The sequence below is a fragment of the Homo sapiens genome, chromosome 7 (genome assembly GCF_000001405.40).
Source record: "Homo sapiens chromosome 7, GRCh38.p14 Primary Assembly".
In the NCBI taxonomy this organism is placed as follows: domain Eukaryota; kingdom Metazoa; phylum Chordata; class Mammalia; order Primates; family Hominidae; genus Homo; species Homo sapiens.
Genome location: NC_000007.14, coordinates 101279528 through 101290887, shown reverse-complemented (window position 1 = coordinate 101290887; position 11360 = coordinate 101279528). Strand labels below are relative to the sequence as shown.

Here is an 11360-nt window from a genome sequence, read left to right as displayed (position 1 = left end):
CCAATCTGGCCCCGTAACCAATCTCAGCTTCCCAGCCCTCCATTTCCCTGAGTAACTACTGCCTGGAAACAATCCTTGTACCAATCTCCGCATCCGCCAGGAGCATTTGTTACTAGAAACGTCATGCAGTTCTGACGCAGTTCTGACCTTAAGCAGAAAATAAACGTATTTATTGGTTAGCTCTCAGAATCCACAGAAAGGATGGAGAACCCAGGCTCAGAATTCCAGAGGAGCGCAACAGTCAAAATCACACCAGCAACCGGCCTGGTAAACACACAGAAGCTGCCAGCAGGGGGCAGCAGAGGCCACAGCACGGGATCTACAACATCCCGGGGGACTGAAGCTCAAGACGCCCCCCGCAGCTACTGCAGCCCCACTGCCCCGGGAGCTGGCAGTTGCAACCCCTGCCAAGACCACCAGAAAACATTGTCCACTGTGCCCCCCTCTTTGTTTCCCTAACACTTGACCCGATATCCAAGGCAGTAGCTTCGGCTTGCTGAGCATAAACCCTGTGCACACCTGCTCCTTCTATTGCCAGGGAGGCTGCAAAAGGAGGATGCGGCTATTTCTGCTTCCATCATGGAAGGCTGGGATTCCACAGGCACCTAAAGGAAAGAGGGAGAGATGGGAATGGGAATGTCCTCCAGACAGCTCTGGCAGGATCGGGTGTGGGAGGAGAGTGAGGGTCCCACCCCAGCTGGGGTCTACCCAGGTCCACGTCCTGGACATGTTGAGGCTTTTTCCAGAAGGCAGAGATGAAGTGTGGTCTGACAACACCCAAGTGACCCCAGAGGGTGTCATAATAGACTGGAAGGGCGACACATCCCAGGCACCTGCCACCCATCACACACACCTCCCACACACTGGCATCCTTCCGCCCCAGGCACACACAAAGCCTCAGTCCAGAGATCAACTGTCTCAGCTCTGAATTTGCATATCCTGTGTATAGACTCACTGGTCACAATCTCTGCCCAGCCTGGCTTGTGCATACTTCTTTCTTACTGTCAGGGGAGGAGCCCGGCCTGGTACTCCCATTGGCCTGTAGATTCACCTCCCCTGGGCATGGCCCCAGGACCCAGGATAATACCTGTGCCTCCGGCCCAGAACCCTCCAAGCAGACACAATGGTAAGAATGGTGCCTGTCCTGCTGTCTCTGCTGCACCTTCTGGGTCCTGCTATCCCCCAGGAGACCCAAGATGGTGAGTAGGGAAAGCAAAGGATGGATGCTGGAGAGGACTGGAAGGAGGTGAGGAACAGGACATATGGCTGGGAGAAGGGCTGGATGCAGCTGGGATTCCCTGGTATACGGCAGGAACGGGTGCCCAAGGCTGTCAACTCCCTCAGCTCACACACTTCCAGGAGCATTCAGGGAGCCTCTGCCCTCACCCAAAATAAGACCTTCAGGAATCTGAATCTAAAACCCCTTAGTTTACGTGAAAACAAAGACTCCAAAGACCAAGCGACCTGCTTGGGGTGGAGAGCCAGGACGGAGCAGGAACCACATGCCTGGAGCTGCTTCTGCTCCTGTTCCTTCCCTCCTTCCGATGGCTGGGTACACCTGCCTGACGCTGAGGGAAAGAGAGAGCAGCCCCAAGGGGAAAGTGGGAAGGGAGGTCGGCTGGAGGGATGGTGCTAGAAGGAAACCCGTGCCCAAATCCCACACTCAGACACCACTGCAGTGGGTCTGGAAGGCTAGTGGCCCGAAAAGAAGACAGTGGGAGCTTGGGGAGATCAAGAGTCACTTCTAGGATAGGGGAAGGAGGCTGTGGCATGAGAATGTGCAGGATAAAGACATGGAAGCGAATGGCTTCTCAGTTGTGTGAGTTAAAAATTTATGACATTTACAAGTTGTCAGAATAGGTGTTTCATGTTAGTTTTATAATAATCACATTTACAATATTAATCCCATTCTGCACCAAAATCTTAATTATTCGGGGTTCTCCAGAGAAACAAAACTAATATACATTGTATACACATGCATATATGTATATATGAATATACACTGTGTATATACACTAATTATATACGTGTGTGTGTATACAAAAGAGAGAAAGGGAGGAGTTTTATTTAATATTTCTTGTGGCTCATACAATTCTGAGGGCTAAAAGTCCTAAATCAGCAAAGCAAGCCAGCAGGCTGGAGACCCAGGAAAGAGTTGGTGTTGCGGTCCTGAGTCCAAGGGTAGTCTGGAAGCAAAATTCTTTCTTCTCTGGGGGACCTCAGCCTTTTCTCTTGATGCCTTCCACTGATTAGATGAGGCTCACCCACACTGTAGAGGGTAATCTGTTTTACTCAGGGTCTACTGATTTAAAAGCTAATCACATTCAGAAATTCATGAGCAAGAATGACTTCAGTACTTAAATTAGAAATCTGCCATATGACCTCCAACGTTACTAACACTCGTGTAAATTATATTCTAAATTAACTATGGAACTAATTGTGGAAATGTCCCACTCTCTCAACTTCCATCTTGTACCAAACTGCAAGGTACAATGCCAGGAATTCCGAGAGGTCTCCTAGCCTTACCCTATGCTGATCCATTCTAGGTCACTTCTTGAGTTTTCTAGTAAATCCACCTCCCTACACTTTCTAACTATATGTATTTGTCCGGTTAGACTAGAAATGTTTATTTCTCATGTTAAGTTCAATGCAGATTGGGCAAGGTTCCTCTCCTCCACAGGGTGACTCAGGGATCCGGGCTGTTTGCATCTTGGGACTCTTCTGTTTCATCCTGTGGTCTCCATAGTCATCAACAAAAGGGATAAGAGACAGTAGGGGAAAGCCAGGTGGTAGGGTCTTGGACCAGAAGAAAGACATCAGTCACTTCCAGTCACATTCTTGTTTGACAAAGCTCAGTCGTATGGTTCCAATCTATCTATAAGGAGGCTGAGAAATGTTATCTTCTTCTGTGCCAAGCAGATTAACTTCTGTAGTGAAGACACAGAATGGTCTCTGAAATATCATCCCCAGCATGAAAGTAGAGCCTGTTTCCTTGAGTGAGGCTCCAATGGTGTGAAGCTGATGGCAGAGGAGAGAGCTGGGGAGGAAGAGGCCAGTGGCCAGGCCTCCCCTCCTGGCCCTCTGCAGCCCCACAATGGGACACCCTTGCATGGACCCCAGCCCTCAGAGTCTTTTCTTTTGCAGGTCATTACTCTCTGACCTATCTCTACACTGGGCTGTCCAGGCCTGGCAAAGGCACCCACAGGCTGCAGGGTACTGTCTTCCTCAATGGCCGTGCCTTCTTCCACTACAACAGTGAAGACAGGAAGCCTGAGCCCCTGGGACCATGGAGACACGTGGAAGGAGTAGAGGACTGGGAGAAGCAGAGCCAAGTTCAGAAGGCCAGGGAGGACATCTTTATGGAGACCCTGAACAACATCATGGAGTATTACAATGACAGTAACGGTCAGTGAACAACAGACCGCGGGGGTGGAAGGTCTAACCCAAGAGGCAGCCCCCCAAGTGTGAGTGGCAAGGGGTCAGCAGGATGGAAATAGTCCCAATCCCAGAGGAGGAACAGGAGACACAGCAGAAACACAGATATGTCCGCATCCCGCCCACCCCACAGCACAGTGCTCCCCACTTCCCCATCGATTGCCCCATCCTCATCCCAGGCCTCAGCTCACACAGGAAGTGATGGCAGAGTCACTTCCTATCCAGGCACCTCTGACCTATCACCTCCACACCCCACCCGTCGGAGGCTGATCTCCCCACGAGAAGGCATCAGACTCACCCCTGTCCAGGGAGGGTGCCTGGAGAGTGAGCCACTCTCAAAGTCACTCAGACCTGGGCTCACCTGGTGGCTCTGCCAGTCCTACCTGTTGACAGTGAAATGTTCCCAAAATATCTGGTCAAAATCTGCAAACATTGGAGCACTGAGACCTACCTCCAAACAAGTCTGTAATATTTAACTATGTCTGTTCTATGAAGGATGTCACAGTCTGTCCTGATCTCCCTTGCAGCCCCATCACCTAGGACAGGGTACAGCCAATATTGGCTCAATTGAAATTTGTGGAATGAACAGAGAAAAGCACGCAGCACACACCGTAGCCCATGCTGGGGGCTCAGGAAGTGCTGCATTCAAAACCACAGGCTGTTAGAGATCCCTGCAGCCCTAAAGTTCCTCCTCACCATAAGATGCAGACCCAGGAAGGGCCACCTGCACTGTGGTCGGAGGAGCTGGTGGCAGACCCCGTGCAGAGATGGTCCCCCTGCCCCCGGCCCAGCGTTCTTTCTCCTAAACCACACTGCCAGCCCCAAGGCAGCCAACCCCAGGCCTGGTGAACTGCTGGTGTTAAATTATCATGGAGTGGGTGTCAAAAGATGGGCTTCTAAGTACAAAAATGCCCAAGGTGCTACATGGGATCTGAAGGTTTCCCAAAGGAGGCAAGAGATAAGCAGACATTTGAAGGATGAGGGATAGGAGGTCTTGGTAAGGAAAATGGCCCGGGGTGCGTGTCAGCAGTAGGAGAGGAGGGGGCACAAGTGATCAGGAAAGACACTGGGAGAAGCTTTGATGGACAGGAATAGAAATGGCAAAGTGGATAATTACGAGGAAGGAGGATGAAGAGATGAATACAGGGTATTAGGAAATAAGAGTAGCTGACATTTACTGAGCACTTACTTTGTGCCAGGCCCATCTATGAGCATATATAATGCTCCAGAATAGCCCCCTGAAACCGTGCTGTTCGCATTGCTGTTTCAGAGCTGAGGAAATAGAGGCCCAGGGAGGTGACTGGCTCCAGTTCATGCAACACACCAGGTGGGGGTGGGGAGAAACCTGGGATGTGAGCCCAGACAGCTTGAGAGCTTTCAGAGTCTATGCCAACAGCACCAACCAGTGCTGGGTAAACACCTGCTTTTATCATCAGAACAAAGAGGCTGTGTCCCCTGCCCTATGAGGTCCATTTCTGAGAGTTGTGGCTAATGGGCAAGAAGTTTGGGAATTTAGAGATTTGGGATAAAGATATCAAACACCAGAAAGGAAGAAAGAAGTGATCAGGTCGGGCACGGTGGCTGATGCTTGTAATCCCAGCACTTTGGAAGGCCAAGTGACCTCGGATCACCTGAGGTCAGGAGTTCGAGACCAGCCTGGCCAACATGGTAAAACCCCGTCTTTACTAAAAATACAAAAATGAGCCGGGCATGGTGGCACGTGCCTGTAATCCCAGCTACTCGGGAGGCTGAGGCAGGAGAATCACTTGAACCTGGGAGGCGGAGGTTGCTCCAGCCTGGGCAACAGAGCAAGACTGTCTCACAAAAAAAAAAAAAAAAAAAAAAAAAAATAGACCTCTAGATCGCCCAGAACTGGAGGTCAGGCCCACCAGTGTGACCAGGTCAGAGGGCTTTGACTTTGAGGGGAAGGGGAGCACGTGAGAAAAAGGCCTAGGGGCAGGGACTGCCAAGGTCATGGCCGAGAGAGGCCACATATGTGTGAGCTGAAGGGACACGAAGGATGTGTCTGGAGAGGCACACGGGGAGGGTGTCCTTCGGGAAGCCTGGCGTGGTGTTGTCACCACCAGGTTTGGAAGAGTGCGGGAGATGGCTAGGCAGCGGCTCCTCACCAGGACCTGCCTCCACCTTAGTCCCCTCTCGGGCCACTTGTCTGTCACTTCTGCTCTTTTTTCTTTTTCTTTTCTTTTTCTTTCTTTCTTTTTTTCTTTTTTTTTTTTTGAGACATGGATCTGGCTATGTTGTCCATGCTGGTCTCAAACTCCTGGCCTCACAACATCTTCCCCACTCGGCCTCCCAAAGTGCTGAGACTACAAGCATGAGCCACCATGCCTGGTCTCTTTTCTTTCTTTCTTTCTTTCTTTTTTTTGGGGGGCGGGGGTTGGGGGGGGAGTTTCGCTCTTGTTGCCCAAGCTGAAGTGCAATGGGGCAATCGGCTCACCACAACCTCTGCCTCCTGGGTTCAAGTGGTTCTCCTGCCTCAGCCTCCGGAATAGCTGGGATTACAGGCATGTGCCACCATGCCCGGCTAATTTTGTACTTTTAGTAGAGACTGGGTTTCTCCATGTTGGTCAGGCTGGTCTCGAACTCCTGATCTCAGGTGATCTGCCCGCCTCGACCTCCCAAAGTGCTGGGATTACAGGCCTGAGCCACCGCGCCCAGCCAAATTTTTTTTTTTTTTTTGAGCAGTCTTGCTCTGTTGCCCAGGCTGGAGTGCAATGGCGCGATCTCGGCTCACTGCAACCTCTGCCTCCCGGGTTCAAGCAATTCTTCTGCCTTAGCCTCTAAATAGCTGGGATTATAGGCGCGCGCCACCAAGCCTGACTCATTTTTGTATTTTTAGTAGAGAGATGGGATTTCATCATGTTGTTCAGGCTGGTCTCAAACTCCTGACCTCGTGATGCACCCGCCTCGGCCTCCCAAGGTGCTGAGATTACAGGCGTGAGCCACCGCACCTGGCCTCTTTTCTTTTTTTTTTTTTTCTTTATTTTATTCTTTATTTTATTTATTTATTTTGAGACGAAGTCTCGCTCTGTCGCGCAGGCTGGAGTGCAGTGGCGCCATCTCGGCTCACTGCAAGCTCTGCCTCCCGGGTTCACGCCATTCTCCTGCCTCAGCCTCCCAAGTAGCTGGGACTACAGGCGCCCGCCCCGACGCCCAGCTAAATTTTTTTCTATTTTTATTAGAGACAGGGTTTCACTGTGTTAGCCAGGATGGTCTCGATTTGCTGACCTCGTGATCCATCCGCCTCATCCTCCCAAAGTGCTGGGATTACAGGCGTGAGCCACCGCACCCGGCCTTTCTTTTTTTTTAAATCATAATACATTTTTTGTCTTATCAACAAAAGTCAGGCATGAAATAGAACATTTTGAAATACATATAAAGAAAGTGAAAAAAATTAGTCACATATTCTTGAAAGAATTTCTGGTAACGTTTCAGTGTCTTTCTAGCATTTTTTTCTAAGTATACATACATGGAGATTTTCCCCATTAATCAGAATTTTTTTTTTTTTTTTTTTTTTTTTTTTTTTTTTGAGATGGAGTCTATGGAGAGGCTGGAGTGCAATGGTGCGATCTCAGGTCACTGCAACCTCTGCCTCCCGGGTTCGAGCAATTCTCCTGCCTCAGCCTCTAGAGTAGCTGGGATTACAGGCGCCCGCCACCACACCCGGCTAATTTTTGTATTTTTAGTAGAGACGGGGTTTCACCATATTGGCCAGGCTGCTCTCGAACTCTTGACATCAAATGATCCGCCCGCCACGGACTCCCAAAGTGCTGGGATTACAGGCGTGAGCCACCGCACCCGGCCTAAAACAGATTTTTCTTTTTCTTTTTTTTTGAGACGGAGTCTCGCTCTGTCGCCCAGGCTGCAGTGCAGTGGCGCAGTCTCGGCTCGCTGCAAACTCTGCCTCCCGGGTACACGCCATTCTCCTGCCTCAGCCTCCCGAGTAGCTGGGACTACAGGCGCCCGCCACCACGCCCGGCTAATTTTTTGTATTTTTAGTAAAAACGGGGTTTCACCGTGTTAGCCAGGATGGTCTCGATCTCCTGACCTTGTGATCCGCCCGCCTCGGCCTCCCAAAGTGCTGGGATTTCAGGCATGAGCCACCGCGCCCAGCAATCAGATCTTTCTTAAAAAGAAGTGGGAAATCTCGTGGGGTTCACAACGTAGATGCAGCCCCTGGCCTATACCTTGGGGTTTTCAGGATGAGAACCTGGAGGAGGTCTCTAGCCTTTCTCTTCAGCGGCAATACCGCTCTCGACCACAAGAGGGGGATGTGTGCTTAAGAACGTTGGCCCCAAAGCTGGAAACCGCAGCTCTGGCACCTGGTGCTGGCAGCTCCCACTCGGATCACCCTTAGTCGCTCCTAGCTTTCCTGCTCACTGCTCAGTGCGCCTCTTGGAAACCTTGGTTCATGAGGGAAAAAAGACAGAACTCACATGCTCACTCTTGCATCGTTCTGCCCGAATTTGGCAAATCTCTGGACAGCTCTGCCCTTGTGTTGCAGCCTCCAGCTTCACAGGCCATCGCCCCCAGCCTCACACTCTTCACCAATATCCCATCATTGCCCAGGACCCATAAGGCCTGTCGGGCCCAGGATGCCCTGGTCCAGCTTCCAGCCTCCTTCCCTGCCGCCTGCCACCCCACAGCCTCTGTTTTTGGACAGCAGTGGGCTTATGTCAGCTGCGATTACGATCACTCACCTCTGCCACCCACAGACCTTCCTGCGTACAGCTTTTTCTTTTGTTTTTTTGTTTTGTTTTTGTTTTGAGATGGAGTCTTGCTCTGTTGCCCAGGCTGGAGTGCAATGGTGTAATCTCGCCTCACTGCAACCTCTGCCTCCTGGGTTCAAGCGATTCTCGTGCCTCAGCCAAGTAGCTGGGATTACAGGCACCCACCACCATGCCTGGCTGATTGTTTTTTTGTTTGTTTGTTTGTTTTGGAGACAGATTCTCGCCCTGTCGCCAGGCTGGAGTGCAGTGCAGTGGTGCGATCTCAGCTCACTGCAACCTCCGCCTCCCAGGTTCAAGCGATTCTCCTGCCTCAGCTTCCCGAGTATTTGGGACTACAGGCATGCGCCACCATGCCCAACTAATTTTTGTATTTTTAGTAGAGATGGGGTTTCACCACCTTGGCCAGGCTGGTCGCGAACTCCTGACCTCAGGTGATACACCAGCCTCCACCTCCCAAAGTGCTGGGATTACAGGCGTGAGCCGTCGCGCCCGGCCAGAATTTGGCGAACCTTTGGACAGCTCTCCCCTTGTGTTGCAGCCTCGGGCTTCACGGGTCATCACCCCCAGCTTCACACCCTTCACCGGTTTCCCATCATTGCCTAGGACCCAGTCTGAACTCCTTATAAGGCCTGTTGGGCCCCGGATGCCCTGGTCTCGCTTCCGGCCTTTTTCCTTGCCACCCGCCACCCCACATACTGTTACCAGACAGCACTGGGCTCATGTCAGCTGCGTTTGCGATCACTCAGCTCTGCCACCAGCAGACCCTCCTGCATGCACCTTTCCAGAAGGCTCTTCCCAGCATTTTCTTTCTTTCTTTCTTTCTCTTTCTTTCTTTCTTTCTTTCTTTCTTTCTTTCTTTCTTTCTTTCTTTCTTTCTTCCTTCCTTCCTTCCTTCCTTCCTTCCTTCCTTCCTTTCTTCCTTCCTTCCTTCTTTCCTTTTTTCTTTTCTTTTCTTTTCTCTTAAAAAAAATGGAGTCTCACTCTGTGGCCCAGGCTGAAGGGCAGAGTGGCACAATCTCTGCTCACTGCAACCTCTGCCTCCCAGGTTCAAGCGATTCTCCTGCCTCAGCCTCCTGAGTAGCTGGTACTACAGGTGTGCGCCACCACACCCAGCTAATTTTTGTATTTTTAGTGAAGACGGGGTTTCACCATGTTGGCCAGGATTGTCTCGATCTCGATCTCATGATCTGCCCGCCTCGGCCTTCCAAAGTGCTGGGATTACAGGCATGAGCCACCCCACCTGGCCTTCCCAGCCTTTCATAAGGAGTTATCTCTTCCCAGAAGTCTCCCTCCACGCTGCGAGTCTGTGTTATGTCATTCTCTGAGCTTCCATGGGGCCCAATGAGCCCCTGTCACACCACTTAGCGTGCTGGAGTGCCTGCCTGCCTTCTCAGATGGAAGCCCCATGAGGGTAAGCACGTGTCAGCCTCACGCATGCATATCCCCAGCACCTCGACGCTGTGCTTGGCACCCCATAGGGCTCAGTAAGGATTTTACTAAATATGGCCAGGTACAGTGGCTCACACCTGTAATCTCAGCACTTTGGGAGGCCATGGTGGGAGGATCGCTTGAGGCCAGAAGTTTGAGACCAGCCTGGGCAACATAGTGAGACCCCATCTCTTCAAAATATTAAAAACTTAGCTAAGTGTGGTGGCGTGGCCTGTAGTCCTAGCTACTCAGGAGGCCAAGGGTGGGACAGTCGCTTGAACCCAGGAGCTCAAGGGTGCAGTGAGCTATGATTGTGCCACTGTACTCCAGCCAGGCTGACAGAACGAGATCCTGTTGCTGCAAAAAACTGACTAAATGTGTGAATGAAGGAATGAATGTGTTCACTGTTCCCTGAGGAGGGTCTGCAAAAGCCAGTACATGTCCTTCCACCCCCTTTCCTCCCTGTTCACTGGGTGCCTCTCATTGTCTCCCAAGCCTCTGCAGACACATCCCAGGGAACAGTGCTGCTGAAGGACTAGTTCTGTTCCTTGTGATGGTGGAAAGAAATGGGATTTGGGCCAGGCACGGTGGCACACACCTGTAATCCTAACACTTTAGGAGGCTGAGGCAGGAGGATTGCTTGAGGCCAGGAGTTTGAGGCCAGCCTGGGAAACATAGTAAGACCCCCATCTCTACAAAAAACAAAGATTAGCCAGGTGTGGTGGTGCATGCCTGTAATCCCAGCTGCTCGGGAAGCTGAGGCAGGAGGATAGCTTGAACCCAGAAGGTTGAAGCTGCAGTGAGCCGTGATCACGCCAGTGCACTCCAGCCTGGGTGACAGAGTGAGACCCTGTCTCTAAAAAATTAAAAAAAAAAAAGAGGCCAGGCACAGTGGCTCATGCCTGTAATCCCAGCACTTTGGGAGGCCGAAGCGGGTGGATCATGAGGGTCAGGAGTTTGAGACCAGCCTGGACAATATGGTGAAACCCGTCTCTACTAAAAATACAAAAATTAGCCAGGCTTGGTGGCACACACCTGTAAGCCAAGCTACTTGGGAGGCTGAGGCAGGAGAATCCTTCAACCCAGGAGGCGGAGGTTGCAGTGAGCCAAGATCACGCCACTGCACTCCAGCCTGGGTGACAGAGCAAGACTCCATCTCAGAAAAAAATAAAAATTAAAAATAAATAAATAAATAAGAGAAATGGGATTTGGAGTGAGGCCAACCCAGTCTCAGTACCGACTCTACCACTTACCAGCTGTACATGTGCCTTATTTTCTCCATTTGCAAAGTGCAGAAAACAGGACCAAGCTTGCAGGGTTGCTGTGAGACATCGCCTGCCAGCCTGACACGTGGTAGGCAGTCATTAGATCAGGGTCTTCCTCCCTCTTTCCCAGAGCCCCCACCTAAGCTCCCTCCCCTCTGGAACCTTGGGACACACACACACCTGTAATCTGAAATAGCAGCTGCTACTTCCCTGACCCTCCTCTGACCCCCAAGGTTGCCCTGTCCTCTATCCCCCCACAGAGTAGTGCCAGGCACAGAACAGATGCTCCAAAGATATGAAAAGAATGAAGGAATGAACGAAGCAGCCACCACCACAGTTTCTCATGGGGCGTGTTCCCCAGAGGCCACGAGCCTCTTTTTTTTTTTTTTTGAGACAGATTCTCACTCTGTCACCCAGGCTGGAGTGCAGTGGTGTGATCTCGGCTCACTGCAACCTCCGCCTCTGCCTCCTGGGTTCAAGT

At 51.2% G+C, this 11360-nt stretch overlaps 1 pseudogene, besides 2 other annotated features; it reads left to right on the top strand.

The window, feature by feature from the left end:
• Positions 210-319: an enhancer, noted in NCBI's record as "active region_26406". NCBI's record gives its function as "activates an Ori minimal core promoter by ATAC-STARR-seq in GM12878 lymphoblastoid cells {active_cell/tissue: GM12878}" and the evidence as "EXISTENCE:reporter gene assay evidence [ECO:0000049][PMID:35858748]".
• Positions 454-1004: an enhancer, noted in NCBI's record as "H3K27ac-H3K4me1 hESC enhancer chr7:100933165-100933715 (GRCh37/hg19 assembly coordinates)". NCBI's record gives its function as "activates a minimal SCP1, AML or CMV promoter by ChIP-STARR-seq in primed H9 embryonic stem cells {active_cell/tissue: H9 hESC(primed)}" and the evidence as "EXISTENCE:reporter gene assay evidence [ECO:0000049][PMID:30033119]".
• Positions 1113-3409, top strand: AZGP1P2 (AZGP1 pseudogene 2; annotated as a pseudogene).